Source organism: Homo sapiens, chromosome 17, assembly GCF_000001405.40.
Source record: "Homo sapiens chromosome 17, GRCh38.p14 Primary Assembly".
Taxonomy (NCBI): domain Eukaryota; kingdom Metazoa; phylum Chordata; class Mammalia; order Primates; family Hominidae; genus Homo; species Homo sapiens.
The window spans coordinates 13,288,549-13,306,847 of NC_000017.11; the positions used below are offsets into that span (position 1 = coordinate 13,288,549).

The window sequence follows — 18,299 nt, forward strand, 5'->3', positions numbered from 1 at the left end:
TCCCATGCAGAGTTCCCATCCCCTTCTCCAGTATAGATTGGATTATATTGTCAGTTCTTCTTATAGTATACGTCTCAGAGAGCTTGCTCTGAGATATATCTGTCCTCCTAAAAGGAAGAGACTAAAGCTCAAAGTATCATTTAAAGAGTTTACTTGAGCCAGAGTGAGGACTAGGGACAAAGTGAGCTGCTAGGGACATAATTCCAAATTACCTTGGGGAGTGCTTCATCAGCCTGTGTTACAGGCAGGTTTTTAAAGGCAAAGGGAACAAGGAGTGGGCCAATACAAAGCTGTTGAACAGGAATCCTTGTTTGTTTACAGATAACATTGGTTAGTAATTGGCTGTACATTGTTGAATTATAGGGTATGAGTTACAGTGTTCAGCGTATGTGTTTTATGGCTATTTGGTATCAGTTAGTCTGGAGCCCACATAGTAGGTGCATTCAAGAGATAATTATTTAGGTCAAGAGGGAATGAGGCATGACTGCTGTTTCATTCCAATGCCTATCTGATCCAAAGGGGCTCACATTCCTCAGATGAAAATATTGATTTTTCTTCTTTCTCATTTTCCCCTTTTGATAAAAAGCCTATCTTTTTGAAAGCACTGGCAACAAAAATATGAGCATCAACGTGTCCCTCTTTACTGGGAAGGTTCATTCCCAGATAGTCCTGAAGAATCTTTAAAAGTGCCCCAAAGCCAAGTTAGCATTCTCCATTGGCATAAGTGAGACCTCAACCAAGTCATTGATTTATATAACTGCTTTGTTTATTGAGTCTCGTTTGGTCTTTGGAATTCCATGATTTTAGTTTTCTTGGAAGAAGTAAAATGAGGGATACATAACATTAGTAATACACTTACGAATTACAATTAAAAAAAGTATTTGTATACCAGAACCTATTCCATTAGGAAGCCAACTAAAAACCTTGTAAAGAAAATTAAAACCAAGTTTTTCTTTAGAGATTTGTAATCAGGAAATGATTCAAGATTCAGTCCAAATTGTAGGATACTAACTAATAAAAACTCAAAAACAATGGTCAGGGCTAGAATGTAATAACAGGTGTACTATACTTTTCTTCTGAAATATTTTTTCTTTCTTAGATGTCAGCTCTGCCATTATCTTCCCTTTGCTTGTGTTTGCATTATAGACGCTATCTTCTGTCCGTCTGATTTGTCTTTTTTTTTTCTTTTCTGAGACAGAGTCTCGCCCTGTCACCTAGGCTGGAGTTCGATGGCGCGATCTTGGCTCACTGCAACTTCCGCCTCCCAGGTTCAGGTGATTCTCATGCCTCAGCCTCCCAAGTAGCTGGGATTACAGGTGTGTGCCACTATGCCTGGCTAGTTTTTTGTATCTTTAGTAGAGAAGGGGTTTCACCATGTTGGCCAGGCTGGTCTCAAACTCCTGAGCTCAGGTGATCCACCTGCCTCAGCCTCCCAAAGTGCTGGGGTTACAGGCATGAGCCACTGCGCCCGGCTTGATTTGTCTTTTAAAGTTATTGGTGATGTTGTGAAAGGTAGCTGAATTGAAATTGGATAATGTCATCCATAAATACACTTGACCTGGCCCTTGGAAACTGCAGGATGTCACAATGTGCTGGGAGGCAGGCAAACAAATGGGTGCCATTGTGTCCCCATGCATGCAGTGATTTTCTCTGTCGTCCCTCAGGACATTTCAGGGTGACATGTGACTGGAGGGGGACTCAGCCCATGTAAAGAGAAATGCGTCAACCTACACTTTAAGTATGAATAAAAATTAATACAACTTTTTGGAATAAAAATTAATACAAATGGAAATGTTACATTTTTTTCTTTCACCTCAAGATTGCCTTGTGTACTTCCTGGGTTGCCCACACCTCAGGCAATTTGGAGATCATTCATCTCAAAGTCTGTGCACCAGTGTTTCTCAATCTTGGCACTGTTAATATTTTGGACAAGAGAATCCTTTGCTGGGGGAGCTTCCCTGTGCCTTGCAAGATGTATAGCAGCATCCCTGGCCCTCATCCACTAGAGAGTAGGAGCACCCTCCCTAGCTGTGACAACCAGAAATGTCTCCAGACATTGCCAAATGTCCCTGCAGGGTGGGGAGCAGGAAACAAAATCATCCTTGGTTAAGAATCACTGTTGTGTACAGAGTAAAGCCATAGACATAGAGTTGCTCACACTTAACATCTTCTGTTGTAGAAAGATATATCCGCTGCTCATACGGATACATTAAATAACCACAGTGTGCACACCCTGAAGTTCGCCTGTGTTTTCTGATCTCTTGGTATCACCGTATAAACACATATTACTATAGAAAATTTGAAAAATAGAAGACACAAAAAAGAAAATTTTTAAAACTTATAACTGAACCTAAATTTGTTGTGTTTTCTTACAATTATTTGTGTAGAATTCATTGGCTGGTTAGCTCTTCCTTCAGTTTGGTCTTGGTTGTAGCATATCTTTTTTTTTTTTTTTTTTTTTAAATTTTGAGACGGAGTCTCGCTCTTGTTGCCCAGGCTGGAGTGCAATGGAGCCTCCCTGGTTCAAGCAATTCTCCTGCCTCAGCCTCCCGAGTAGCTGGGATTACAGGCATGCACCACCACGCCCTGCTAATTTTGTGTTTTTAGTAGAGACACGGTTTCTCCATGTTGGCCAGGCTGGTCTCAAGCTCCCAACCTCAGGTGATCCGCCTGCCTTGGCCTGCCAATGTGCTGGGATTACATGCGTGAGCCACCGTGCCTGGCTGCTTGTAGCATATCTTAAAGAAATGCATTTATATTTCTATCAAGTAATTTGAAAATTCTAACATATGAAGTCCATACTTTTCCAGTTGTCAGCACTGGTAGAAATCCCCCTTTTATGTAGTCTTTTAGTTGGACTTTTGGAGAGGAAGAGAATTAAAGATGGAAGCTAAACATGACATGAAAGACAACCATTAAAAATATAAATGTGTTTTACTGCAATGAAAAAATTAATTAGCTCAACCTCCAAAGCACAGTAAACAAAATTAATATTCAAATGAAAAAACCCTGAGAAAATATTTACATCTGTAAAATGACAATATTAATAGTTTCTTAACACATAGAATAAAAACGAAAAACATAAATATATAATGGACTTTAAAAAGTTGAAAAAGACAAATATTCTACTAGAAAAAAGACAAAGTAACAATTCAAAAATAAAAAATATGAGATGTCATTTTCTTACAAGATAGAAAAGATTTTTATAATAATGCCCCTTGTTAAACGAAAAGTCTGTTACACTGGTGATGGAAATATAAATTGATACAAGGCTTCCAAAAAATAATTTGAGAATAGGCACCAAAAGCTTTCAAAATTTACATGTACAGCCTTATAAATTTACTTAATAATTCTACTAGGAACTTATTCTAAGGAAATACGCATGGGTTGATGTGAAAAATTCACCATAACAAAATTCATCAGACCCATCTTCGTAATAGTAGAAAATTTAATAATTACTTAAGTGTTCAATATTAAGATATTTTAAAATAAGTTATATGGCAGCACCCTAAACCATTATTAAAATTGTATCTTAGAAAACTATGTAATGTTATGAGGACTAGTCACATGTATTAAGAGAAAAATATCATATGGTATTATGGTATAACGCCAAATAGTAAATATAATACATTTTTGTAATTTTAAAAGTTTCCATGTGGAAAGATCTACACCAAAATATCCATACCTCTGAGTAGTGACTATCGTAGTTTATTTAAACTGTTTTCTGTTTTTCCATTTATATTTTCAAACATTTCCACAGTAAACATTCGTAATAAAAATGCTAAAAGTTGTTATAATAATACTGCGAGGCTCTTGAAACATTTTTTTGGTTCAGAAAGAAATACAGAACAGCGTTTTCCTTTCCAAACTGCCACCAGCTGGGAAAATCATCATGTAAGTTGTTTCACACAACACGCTTCATCTGAGAAGGAAGCAAATCTTGAGAAGGACCTTATGTTCATGGTCAATGATGTTCACTCAGGGATCCTTTTCATCGTTTTCCCCACCTGTGCCAAGCACGTCCACCTTCTGCTTAAGCAAAACTCTTTCTCAGCCAGGAGCACATCGGTATATTGAAAAGACGACAGCGGTACTTGGAATGAAACTTGAATGGATTTTCAGAGAAAACGTAGTTATTATACAGTATCTAGGAAAATGTAGTTATTATTCGGTATCTAGTGGCATTTTTTTTTTTTTTTGAGACAGAGTCTCGGTCTGTCACCCAGGCTGGAGTGCAGTGGCGCCGTGTCGGCTCACTGCAACCTCCACCTCCCAGGTTCAAGCAATTCTCTGCCTCAGCCTCTTGAGTAGCTGGCAACCATGGTGGGAGGCGCCCACCACCATGCCCGGCTAATTTTTTCTATTTTTAGTAGAGACGGGGTTTCGCCAACTTGGCCAGGCTGATCTTGAACTCCTGACCTCATGATCCACCCACTTCGGCCTCCCAAAGTGCTGGGATTACAGGCCTGAGCCACCGCGCCAGGCCTCTAGTGGCATTTTAATGCGGTGGTGGCTTAGGACGGATACAAGGCTCCTGAAACTGAAAGTTCTGACTATCCAAGTGAAAGTGATTCTGATGAGGAGGAAATAAAAGGTGTCTAAAGAAACCAATGAGCTGTCCAAGGATCTAATTTTCAGTTTCATATCAACAGTGGCCACCTTTGTCTTGCTTCTCACTGTATTTACTATGGCTAATAAAGTTCCTGGCATATAATTAGTGCTAAAAATAGTTATTAAAGAAATGAGGACATATTTTAACACAACACAATATATGTAATCCAATACAAGGAAGGGAGTATAGAAAAATCAAGTAGAAGGGGAAGAAATTAAATAATTGGAAAAATAGTGTAGAATGAGACATTCAAAAATATTAAATGAAAATTAAATAACTAAATGTTAGAAACAGAAAAAAGTATCATAAAATAAATTATCATTTTAGAGACAGATGGTATAATGTGAGCCAAAAATAGGCTTCAGATATTCTTACATTCATTCCTTCTTTCATTTTATATTTTTCTCTTCCTATGCTCCCTTTCTTCTCCTTTTCTTTTCTTCCTCCTACCATTCCTACCAACCTCTCTCTTTCTTTCCCTTCCTCCCTCTTTCTTTCTCTCCCTCTTTGTGCCTGCTTTCCTCCTTCCCTCCCTTTCTTTCTTTCCCTTTCTTTCTCTTTCTTTCCCTTTCTTTCTCTTTCTTTCTTTCTTTCTTTCTTTTTCTTTCTTTCTTTCTCTTTCTCTCTTTCTTCCTTCCTTCCTTTCTTCTTTCTTTTTTGTTTTCTTTCATCTTCCCTCTTTTCTTTTCAAATGAATTTGAAATCTATCCCATGCCAGACACAAGATAAACCCTGTACTTTATAAGTATCAGTTTTACTCAAAGATCCTGAAGGAAATCACGCCACAAGAAGCACTAATACATTTTATGTTGAACGAAAAAAAAAACATGAATTATTTTTAAACAATTAACAAATACCATATTGGCTTTGAGTGAATCCAACCGCTATGAGATCATTTTGGACCCCTCGGTGATTAGGGATTCTCTGGTGGTTGATTTTGAGAAGCCCTGCTTTACACGAAGACCAAGAATGCACGCATATCCAATACACGGGAAATAAAGCTTGGAGAGATGGTTTTATGTTGCATGAAAGAGTCAGGATTTATAAAATATCTATAAGCTGAACTTAAACAGTAATATAAAAGGATTAAAATTGTTCAAGAACAATACACAATCATCTACTGAAGGAAAAGATGGAAAAGGCCAGGCTTCAACAAAAGTCACAAGACAAGGATTTTGAGTAATACATACTTGATACAGTCCAATGATGGGGTGAATGAACTAAAGAAAGGCTTATGGATTGTAGGCTGAGTTCATAGAGATGGAGGGAAACTGTTTTATTCCAATCACATCTGGTGGGTTGTATTCATCTCTGAACATTATTTATTTATTTATTTATTTATTTTTGAGACTGAGTTTCACTCTTATTGCTCAGGCTGGTGTGCAATGGTGCGATCTCGGCTCACCGCAACCTCTGCCCCTGGGGTTCAAGTGATTCTCCTGCCTTAGCCTTCTGAGTAGCTGGGATTACAGGCATGCACCACCAGGCCTGGCTAATTTTGTATTTTTAGTAGAGACGGGGTTTCACCATGTTGGTCAGGATGGTCTCAAACTCCTGACCTCAGGTGATCTGCCTGCCTCGGCCTCCCAAAGTGCTGGGCTTACAGGCATGAGCCACCGCACCCAGCCTGAACATCATATTTGAAGAAAGCCATTGACAAATTAGAACATGCTCACAGAAGAGTTGTCAAGACAATGACAAAGACTTGAAGTCGTGCTACCTGGGGCAATAAAGAAAGCTGTCATCTTAAACACTACTGTGACCAGTTTAATGGTTCTTCTCATACCACCATGTGAGTTCACTAGCAATCCCAAAACAGTGAATTAACACAACAAAAGGTTATTTCTCATTCATATTACACATCTGTCATGGGTTGATGGGGGTTTTGCTCTACACAATCATTCGGGTACCCAGAATGATGGAGGCTGGCTCCACCATCTAATACTGGCATCATATGGAACATTCAGCCTCATCAGTCACATGGCAAGGTCAGAGACAATGGGAAAGTTGCACGCAAGCTCCAGAATGCTCCTGCCTTACAGTAACGTGACCCCATTGACCTGTAAAAAACTGGAAAATATGGGCAAGTATGTAACACCTTATTAATATTTTATTTTATTTTATTTTATTTTTGAGACAGAGTTTCGCTGTGTCACCCAGGCTAGAGTGCAGTGGCGCGATCTCCGCTCACTGCAAGCTCTGCCTCCCAGGTTGACGTCATTCTCCTGCCTCAGCCTCCCAAGTAACTGGGACTACAGGCACCCACCACCGCGCCTGGCTAATTTTTTGTATTTTTAGTAGAGACGGGGTTTCACTGTGTTAGCCAGGATGGTCTCGATCTCCTGACCTTATGATCTGCCCGCCTCGGCCTCCCAAAGTGCTAGGATTACAGGTGTGAGCCACCGCGCCCAGCCTATTTAATCATTTTTAAATGGTGTAATGCTTAGCTTTCTATGGCTTTATTCTCAACCTTAAGAATAGTAGCTGGGAAATCATGGATTTGGTCTGCTATTATATTTTCTCTAAAATGTGTTAAAATAAATCACTTTTAGAATTACAGAATTTCATCCATATGCCACCTAAAATCATTCTACCTACTACACAGTGTGTCACTTTTAGAGGAAAAACTAGTTTGTTGAATGCAATCAATTGCAGTAGAGGAAGAAGGAAATGAGGTTACATGGGAAGGACTGCTCAAAGAGACTGTGAAATGCTGTGGGGTTCCTGACTGGAAATTTGGGATCAAATTTGAGAAAAAGAAAATGACAATTATGTCCCCAGACTAGGACAATCATTCTGTTTTTTTGTTTTGTTTGTTTTGATTTTTTTTAGATGGAATCTCCTTCTGTTGCCCAGGCTGGAGTGCAGTGGCACCATCTCAGCTCACTGCAACCTCTGCCTCCCAGGCTCAAGCAATTCTCCTGCCTCAGTCTCCTGAGTAGCTGGGATTACAGGAACTCACCACAATGCCCAGCTAATTTTTTGTATTTTTAGTAGAGATAGGGTTTCTCCATGTTGGCCAGGTTGGTCTCGAGCTCCTGACCTCAGGTGATTCGCCTGCCTAGGCCTCCCAAAGTGCTGGGATTATAGGTGTGAGCCACCATGCCCGGCCAGGACAATCATTCTAACTTGGAAATATTGAAGAAGATGGAAATGCATAAGAATTCGGCTATGGAAGGTTAATAATAATATTAAATAAATGGAACATCAAAGTGAGTTTCAAAATTAGGGTTTTAAATTTCCACTTAAAAAAAATTTTTTTTTTAATTCTTATTGAGACATGGTTTTATTCTGTTGCCCCACCTGAAAAACAGTGGTGCTATCACTGTATTCCAGTGGCTCACTGCAGCCTTGATCTCCTGGACTCAAGTGATCCTCCTGCCTCAGCCTCCTGAGTAGTTGGGACTACAGGCGGGTACCACCATGCCCGGCTAACGCATTTACCTCTTTCAGAGATTTGAATTAGCCATTTAACCAGGCTGAGTAGTTGAATAAGTAAAGCTGCTTCACTCAAAAATCTCTTTCCTTTGATGATAACGATCAGTGGTATTTGTTACCAAATGTTGCACAAAATTCTTTTCCCACAGTATCTCATTTGATCTTTGCAACAATGCTATATATTAGATTTGATTAATATTCCCACTGTATAGATGAAAAATCTGGGGCCTATTTACAGTGAAATACTTGCCCAAGGTCACAGAGCTGAAGCTGAATCCTAGGTCTTTAACTAAAATCCAACCCTTCAAAGGAACTCAAATTTCCCACCTGGTTTTAGGGGTTTTCATTATAATCTTTCTATCATTTTCTTGTCTTTTACTATCTTTTTGGATATAAGCAAGGTGTAAACAGCAATAGTTGAAAATTTACAGAGTCAGTTCTAGGTTATCACTAACTAGGGACCTCAGTTAGATTGAAGTGGGTGGCTGGGATGGGAAGAACTTTTCTATTTAACTTAAGACTGTTAGATAGATTTTCTGAGCGGTTATTCTGTCTTGTTTCATTTTCTTACTTTTATGTTTTCTTTCTTTCTTTCTTTTAAACATTTTTCCAGTCTAAAAGCCAGAATCAACAGGATCAAAAATCAAACAAAAATTCTGAGCTTCCCTAAGGACACACATGGGGGATTTGAGAATGTCAGCTGTACAAATATGACGCCATCTTTAGACAAACTGTCTGGAAGGATGGGTTGGGGGGGTGGATCCAGCTCCTGTGTGTTGCATGCAGATGTCATATGGCCATGCCTTTAGCCAGCTTTATTATCTGACAGATACGGAGCACAAATATTGACTTTTGCTATTTTTACTGTAACTGCAGCCATAAACATTGATTACTTCAGGAGAGTGCAGACAGGAAGAAGGCAGCAGTGTCTCCATGGCCCAAGAGAGCTTTTGTCTTTGCCGCAGGGCAGCCCAAAAAAGAGTAGGACTGTGCATACGATCCTTATGGAATGATTCAATACAGAAATAGTAAAATGGTGATGATGTGAAAGATCCCCCAGGTTTGAGGGACTTAAAAATATCCCTATGGGTTCTGTATTGTCATCTGTGTTCATTTAGCCCAAGCAAATTCTGAATGCAGGAAAGAGGGGAACTTAAGAGCATTTAAAAGCCTTCCTCCTTCCATGGTGCATGCCTGTCTTCTGGGCAGACTTCCTCCTCTTCTGATGGCAACACACAGTAATTGATAATTACATTTTCCAATTTCTTCCCCTCTACATCCCAGAATTATTTGCTTGGCAAGAGAAATAATCAATCAATCAATGTATATTGCGTTGTTGGTCCTTTGTAGGAAATGAAGGGATGCCTCTTTTGATGACAATCTGTTTATTTGGCAGATGCAAAAAAAAAAGCAAGGGAGATTTTCTGATCTAGTCTTTTCATTTGTTTGTTTTAGATTCAGAGCCTAAAATTTATGTTTCCTGTGTGGAGTAACCCAGATTTCCTGTTTGATTAGGTCTAATGTGTTCTGCATGAGCTTCTGGAGCTAGAAAGATCATAGTGAACATTATGGACACTAACAGGATGATGGTGGGACAGACAGCCAGAAACTTGAAAGTGGGTCTAGAGGATGACTGGTTTCCATCTGCAAGAAAAGGTCTGTTGCCCCCTAGTATTCACTTCAGCTGAACTCAGCATCTCAGCCAGGCACTCAAAGGCTTCAATAAGTTTAAAGCAGAAGAGTCTCTGTCTCAAAGTGCATCTCATGCCAGCGCCCAACTCTGGCCTAAATCAGCCCAAAGTAAACCGACTTGAACTTTCTCCAGAGATTCAGGGAGTAAGAATGAAACCAACCCAGACACCTTTAGGGGTCAAAAATCATTCAGATAGGTACAGAAGAACAAAGCAACGAATGGCTCCTCATGGCCCGGAGGGGGAAGGGGGCCGTGCGTTGAAGATGGAAGTATGTATTTTAGGGTTTTTTTGGTTTTGGTTTTGGCTTTTTTTCTGTTGTTGTTGTTGTTTTTGAGATGGAGTCTCGCTCTGTGGCCCAGGCTGGAGTGCAGTGGTGCAATCTCGGCTCACTGCAACCTCTGCCTCCCAGGTTTAAGCAGTTCTCTGCCTCAACCTCCTGAGTAGCTGGGAATACAGGTGCCCACCACCACACCCGGCTAATTTTTGTATTTTTAGTAGAGATGGGGTTTCACCATCTTGGCCAGGCTGGTCTTGAACTCCTGACCTCGTGATTCACCCGCCTCAGCCTCCCGAAGTGCTGGGATTACAGGTGTGAGCCACTGCACCTGGACTATTATAGGTATTTTAATAAGAAGTTAAATCTTTTCATATGGAGTCTGGCTGTCAGGTGGCTTAAGACATTGAGCACATTTGCAGGACTGGCTCTACCACCAAACCTGCTGGTATCTGCCTTTAGAAGAGTCATTCATTCATTGATTAAATAAGCTTGACGGAGGAGTTTCCACCCATAAGTGGGGTAGAGCATATGAACATATCATGTAGAGGAAAGGGCATGGTTTTCAGAGTCAAGCAGAGTTGGAAGCAAATCCAAGTTCAAACACATACACTTTGTGTAATTTCATAAAGATTTCTTGTTTTTATTTTGAGCCTTGTTTTCATTATCTATAAAAGAGAAACATAACATGGTTGTTGCTAGGCTGAAACAAAATAATATTTGTACAGTGTTTAGCATATACTGTAACCAAAATACCTAAGTCCCCTCTCACTACTATAATTGCATAGCAACTTCTTCATTTTCCCTTTACCAATATCTGAACTCTCTTACTTTGGATAACTGTTATTAGATAACAATGAAACAATTTTTGTGTTCAAAAGTGTATTTTATTTAAGTATGTATTTTGGTTATCAAAAATGTTGGGCTATTTTGTAAGTTTGTGGAATGATATTGACATTAATTATTAGGCCAATTGGTTATAGTAAGAGTAAAGAAAGTTTACTCTTTCTCTTCATTTTCATACCTCATCCCCTGTAAGAAATATTAATCAATAAAATACAGAATGGTATCTACCAAGCAGTTTATAGCATAGTTTGGGCCTAAGCTTAAATTTAAGGCAATTCAGTGGGACCATTTACAATGTCTTAGAAAACTGGCTGACACGTCCTATTTGCAGAGAAGACTGAAGAAGTACCCTGTTTGTTTAAAATTAACATAAAATATTATTCTGCCTATCTACCTTTGCATGTACCTTGTAGATCACCTTCTTTGAGCTTTAGTAAGATGAGTAGAAAGATGCTATATTTTGGAGTTACTCTCCACCACTGGTTGTATAATCCACCATGATGGGGAAGCTCTTTTCCAGTTCCCAGCCTGTAAGACTTGCTGTAATTTCACACTTGGTAATATGAGCTTGTTTTCTGGATCATCAGTGTTGGGGGAAAAAAAAAAAACAACTTCCGTTAATGGATGGCAGTCTCTAGAATTTTCCATTGAGATTGAGTAATACAATTCATTATCCTAGTTATACATCTTAGGTCTCTACTTGGAATCATGAAGTTCTTTAAACCAAAATACCTAAGTCCCCATTTACTGCAATAATTACATAGCAACTTCTTCATTTCCCCTTTACCAATATCCACTGAACTCTCTTACTTTTGGTAATTGTTATTAGATAGCAATGAAACAATTTTTTGTGTTCAAAAGTGTATTTTATTTAAATATTCATTTTGACTATCAAACATACCAAAAATGTTAGGCTATTTTTGTAAGTTCATGCACTGATGTTGACATTAATCATTAGGTTAATTGGTTGTAGTAACCAGTTTATTCCAATACCGAGTCCTGCCCTCGACCAAATTAGTAATATAATGTGTTATCCTTTAATAAGATGGGCAGATGGAAGGCGCAAGGGCAGGGTCAAGATATATGATAAACTTAAGCTCAACCAGTTAGAACCCAGGGCCAGGGTCTAGTTCTAGCAGGGGAAAATTGGTGAAGACAATCATACACGCTGGGTGGACAAACTGTTCACCGAATTTCTAGGCCTACGCTTATGCTCAGCTTCATAGAGTAGGAAGCTATTTATAGACCTTTCTCTACCCCAGTGGAGAAGGAGGTACTGTTTGTATCATTTCAGGGTTTCAGACAAATATGACCATAAGGTGGCTTGATTTGGATAGAAGTGGCCTTACAAGGATACAGGATTATTTAAATAATATGAAAATGAACACTGCATTTGAAATCAAAATATCTGTCTTTATTTCAGGTTCCACCAGGTGACCAACTTAAAGCTCTGTAAGCTTTGGTTTACTCATCTGTAAAATATGGATAGCCATTTACGCTGCATAATGTTCAGAGGATTAGGTAAAATTATGTAAAAGAAATAAAAAATATGGCTGGGCGTGGTGGCTCACACCTGTAATCCCAGCACTTTGGGAGGCCGAGTCGGGCGGATCACGAGGTCAAGAGATTGAGACCATCCTGGTCAACATGGTGAAACCCTGTCTCTACTAAAAATACAAAAATTAGCTGGGAGTGGTGGCACACACCTGTAGTCCCAGCTACTCAGGAGGCTGAGGCAGGAGGATTGCTTGAACCTGGGAGATGGAGGTTGCAATGAGCCGAGATCACACTACTGTACTCCAGCCTGGTGACACAGCGAGACTCCATCTCAAAAAAAAAAAAAAAAGAAAGAAAGAAAGAAAGAAAAATACAATGTACATAGATGGTCTATTTCTCTCCTCTATCCTTCACCACCTTCACTAAACATTCAAAAACCTTTGATGACTTTCTGCTAAAGACAGTTAAAGCCAAAGATATTAGCTTGCTATTCAGGATCTTAACTTGCCAACTATTATTTCCCACTATTTTTCCCCATACAAATTTTTAGCAGACAACAACAAATCTATGTTTCCCTTGGTGAGTCAGTTGTAGTTGAGAGGTCTCATGAGGGAATCTGCTTGCCCAATTACGCAGGACATCACCTCTCACTTTACACCTGGGAAGGAGAGGACCTTTGGCTTTCAGATGTGGGCGCTCCATGTGATCAGAATCCTGGCCCGATGCCTGCCCATGGATCATGCTAAACAAGTTCAGGAGAGTTTGATATGTGAGCCTGAAGGCCAGTTCTTTAATTATCAATTTTTTATATGATCCTACATCAGTATCCTCATGGAAGTTCACACTATAATAGGTTTGTTAGACGACTATGAAATCAGAGTGGCTGGGCGCAGTGGCTCATGCCTGTAATCCCAGCACTTTGGGAGGCTGAGGTGGGCGGATCACGAGGTCAAGAGTTCGAGAACAGCCTGACCAACATGGTGAAACCCCGTCTCTACTAAAAATTAGCCAGGCGTGGTGACACGCTCCTGTAATCTCAGCTACTTGGGAGGCTGAGGCAGGAGAATTGCTTGAACCCAGGAGGCAGAGGTTGCAATGAACTGAGATCATGTCACTGCACTCTAGCCTGAGCAATGCAGTGAGACTCCATCTCAAAAAAAAAAAAAAAAAGAGAAAGAAATCAGAGGAAAAAAAAATCATTTGATAATATTGAGTGTGATCCTACTTCAATTATGTGTCATCATCAAGGAGGCCCAGACCTCAGTGGAAAATGGATTTGTGGGTGCCCCTGAGAAGCTTTGACTCTCTTGACAGAGCTCAAGGGGGTGCAGTTGTCACTGGGTGGGTGACATGAGTGGGTGGGACCTGGAACTGCTCTCAGGCAGACAGTCTGGTAGACACGAGACATACAAGAAATTAAATGTGTGTGTGTTTGCAGGGGCCCGTCTTAACCAATCCCCCAGGTGGCTCCTACTGGAGAGAAAAAAACAATGTCGTATTTAGCCATGGGCAAGTGTAGAAATGGAGGCTGGGAGAAATCCCTGCACACCTTTCTTTGGTCAGCTCATGAGTCATTTTCCCCCCAATAAACAGAAACACCACCTAAAACAAATTAGATCACATTGCTTTTCTTAGTAGCATGTCATATATTTTCTTCCCCACTTGTCCATGTTCTGTCAAAGATGAGGAATGATCTTGCAGAACTCTTGGAGCTGAGAGCAGAGTGGAGCCAACCTGATCCCGTAAGCCGACCTGGAAGCCTCATGGGAAATTCTTCTTGAAACATCCCAGCCCCATTTCAGGGCCTCTGTGCTTAATCTGCAGATAATAATCTCAGCTCCTTACGGCTTGCCCATCACCTCATCTATAGTGTTTGCCACTCTTAGTTTTTGTCAAACTCTAAGGAGTTGGGGAAAAAACATTTTGGGGCAGATAGTTCAAGGAAAAGTCAAAGTTGAGAGGTGACTTGGTTTTTCTCCTCTTTCCCACACTACAGACCAGAAAACTAAACTCAAAATAATAGTATGAATGCAAAGAAAATCAAACCATCCTGACTCCTTTGCCATGTTTGAATAATCATGAAGACTCTTGTAGGAGTTTTCCATTAATTCAGGAAGCCCGCTCTAGCTTTTCTGCATGAGTTTATCAGTCCCTATTTTGTCGTAAGGTCTATTGTGTTTTCTCCACTATTCTAAAATGCAGCTGCGTTATCACTGTATATGCAGTATAAATGTTTAGTCACCTCTGAGTTATCAACTGGAATGCTCCTCAGGGACATGTCACTGCTAGGTGAAATGGGGGTGGCTGAGTGGAGTGGCAACCATCTGGTTATGTTGAGCATGCCGGGATTGGCAGGAAGCACTACATGAGAGAGTGTAGCTTAAAAAGGTGCATTTAATGCTATAATTGTTTATTTGTTTTCATTTGTAATATTTGTTTTGAAATTTCAAATAACACTGAAGAAGAACTCAATGTTTTAGATTTCCAATAGAAGGCACAGATTTAAAAGGCTGGAAGATACCACTTAACAAGCTAATCCCAGAGCAAATACAGAGACAATTCTTAACTATAATAAATGCTTTACCTGTGAATAGCTTTATCACTGAGAGTGTATGAAGATAATAAAATACAGAACATTAAGTTTTAAACAGGAAAAGCTCATGGGTATGTTCAAGCTTTTTTCAAGATTTTTTTTGAGACAGAGTCACCTTGTCGCTCAGGCTGGAGTGCAGTGGCATGATCTCCGCTCACTGCAACCTCTGCCTCCCAGGTTCAAGCGATTCTCGTCCCTCAGCCTCCCGAGTAGCTGGGATTACAAGTGTGCACTACCACACCCGGCTATTTTTGTATTTTTAGTAGAGACAGGGTTTCACCACGTTGGCCCAGCTGGTCACAAACTCCTGACCTCAAGTGATCCACCCACCTCAGCCTCCCAAAGTGCTGGGATTACAGGCATGAGACACCGCACCTGGCCTTCAAGATTTTTTTACATTTCTGTAATGCTTTGCTCTCAAAATTCAGCACTCTGAGGAACAATGTAACCTGGTGAAAAAAAAAAAAAAAGACATGGGACTCATTCTGCAAGAAGTGATCTGCAACTCGCTATGCAAATAATATGAACAGAATAATGCTATTTTTTAAAATTAATATCCCATGAAGGAAGACTCTGTATCTCTGCAGATACACACATGAAAGAGGCCAGGAAGTGAATCTTCCATGCTAATAACAATGTAGTTCCTCCTGCAGGGGCAGGACAGTCCAGAGGAACTTTATTTTTAGACTATTGGACTATTTGTTTAATATGATACTGTTAACATGTATTTATATATTACTTGTAGACAGTAAATATTGATAAAATATTTTAAAAATACAATAATAATAATCAAATGACCTCATAACATTGTTAAGCCTGCCTGGTTGGGCAATTTGAGGAATTTCCTCAAGGTTTTTGGACCTCAGTTTCCCCATCTGCAGGAGATTAGAGAATTCCTCATGGGGTGCTGTGGGTCTCCCATCGCTCCTCAAAACAACCTCAGCAACCGGGAAGGGGGGAACAGAGAGGTATGGGAAGGTTGATGAGAAAACTAAGTATGTGTGTGGGAGAGGGCGCCGTAATTCGAATCCAAGCAGCTCTGCTCTCCTTTTAGTTTTTTAGAGCATTCTTCTACATTCGACCATGTTTGAATAATAGTGGAGTAAAAAAATTATCTATGGATAACTCCAACTCTACAAACTGCAAAACCAAACAAAAACAACCTTTAAGAGAATCATCTAAATCGGCAAGTAGTGTGCTCTGAGCTTCAATGTACAATTTACACAGAAGTCACAAGGAAGCTCTAGCTTCCATCTCAGCCTCTGCTTTCTGCCCCTGGAGGGAGGCAGCAAAGAAAGTGAAGGCACACCCGAGTGTCCAGCCCTCATTCACGCTGGTTCTTCTGGCCACAGCACTGGGCTTGTATGTGGAAGTCTCATTCTGATGTATCGTGATTCTTTGTTTTAAAACTCAAGCTTAGCAATTTATTTTTTAATCAGTTGAAACTCTTTTCATGGCAAATGGTAGAAAGCTCAATAAAATTTACAAAAGAGAAAAAAAGGATGGCATTGTTTCACATAATGGAGAAACTCGAGGCTTTAAGCATTGATCCTTCCAGTGCCTCAAGTGACATAATTGTCACTTCATTTCTCAGCTCTGTGTTCTATGTTCCATGCAGTGACAAAGTGGCTGCCTCACAGGTTCAGTTCAACCTAAGAGGTGACGTTGCCTTCTAGAAATCTCTGCCCACTCCCATGAAAATCAAGGGATTTATTGATTGCCCAACTTGAGTCATCGGCCATGGAGACCCCAGTCACCAGGAGAGGAAGTTTGTGCTCTGATTAGCCAATGTGGACCAAATGGGGGGATGGGGGATACTCAAGGAAAATTTAGGGCACCATTTCTTGAAAAATGTAGAGTAAATAGTGAACGCATTATAATAACATCCCAGCTGGCCCTATGATTGTTATTACAAAGCATTTTGAAGACAGAAGGAAATATGAGTGACCACTTCTGAGCTTCCCTTGTCCTCTGTGAGTCTTAAGAACAGGAGCAAATGTCATCTCGCATTAGCTTAAATTTCTTAATAGAGTTTACTTTTTAAAAAGATATTTTAAAACAATACACTCCTTTTTCAAAACATCATTATTTTCAAATCATGTAGACATGTATCAGAACTCTCTTAAACAGACTGCCATAGACAGGCTGTACAGAGAGGCGAAGCTACAAAATAAGTCTAAAGTAGAATAAAACGAGAACCAAAAAGAAAATGAGTGTCTTATTTCATGAAAAGTAGTAACTATGCCCAATTCACGTAATGAAAACCGCTGAGCATGTCATCCTTAACAAAATAATTTTATTAAGCAAAGTCCTTCTCTATTTAGCACAAGGAAAACATTATTTTAGTCAATTAATAATTCCCAAAGTGTTTCCTTAATATTTTGACAGTAATTTCAAATGGATGTGCATGCATAGAAATGATTATTAAACTAAGGCATATACACAGGTACATACATACTCACACCCACATGATTATTATTATTATTGGTTGAAACTATAGCCTGAGGCGACAAGGAAAGTAAAGGTCAGCCTTCCAAACAGAAAACACATGTATGGTGAGAGCACCATAAACTGCAGGGAAGAAACAAATTTATTCTCATATTTTTCATCAAGTTTATTTTTAGAGTCATGAACAACAGAGACCTTTCTTATTGATTAAATTTCGTAATGTTGAATTTGATCAAATCATAAGACACCAATTAGACTATAATTTTTAAACCATTATGGATGATAATAAAGGACGAATGGAATCATTAACAAAGAATTCCCTGAGTATTAAATTATCCCGTCTTTATCTTGTTAAGAAAACTTAGAAATTGTGTGTGGGTGCGGGTGTGTTTTCAATCACAAAGAGTGTTTCCCTCTTCTCGTAAACTCGCGGAAGCCATTTTCCAGCCCTCCAAGGGCAGCATAGCTATAGGTTGGCAGCAAATATTCTTCTTTTCGGTGTGCTATCTAGACATGGCTTCACACGGTTTGTGTTTCCCTGTTGACCTTTTAAAGAGTCCATACCAAGGCAGGACAATCCCTAGGCTGACTTGAAGAGTTCCCCTGATGTGGAGCTGTCGTACTCAAATTCCTGCTGGCAGTTTCCTAAGAAATGCTAAAAGATCCTTAGGAATCTGAATTAACCAGTTAATAGACAGTGTCTTTCTCAAACTGGGAATTTCTCCACTTTCCTCAAGCCTCATCCGTATTCTAGAGGAGAGATTTTAAGTACAGGACAGACTTACTACTCATTGCAGAACCAGAAGGGGGAGCCATAGTGCAAAGGAATCTTAGACCATTCACACTGTTTCTACAGGGATGAGTAATAATCACCACATGGGTTACATAACTTCCGGC

At 39.7% G+C, this 18,299-nt stretch overlaps 1 long non-coding RNA gene across 1 annotated transcript; it reads right to left on the reverse strand.

The window, feature by feature from the left end:
- Positions 1-10,632: 10,632 nt before the first annotated feature.
- On the reverse strand, positions 10,633-18,212 carry LINC02093 (long intergenic non-protein coding RNA 2093). Its single transcript, NR_146885.1, has 5 exons — positions 18,188-18,212; positions 15,285-15,403; positions 12,571-12,691; positions 11,271-11,439; positions 10,633-10,686 (listed from the first exon to the last, which is right to left on the reverse strand). It is a non-coding gene; the product is annotated as a long intergenic non-protein coding RNA 2093 (long non-coding RNA).
- Between the last annotated feature and the right edge of the window lie 87 nt (positions 18,213-18,299).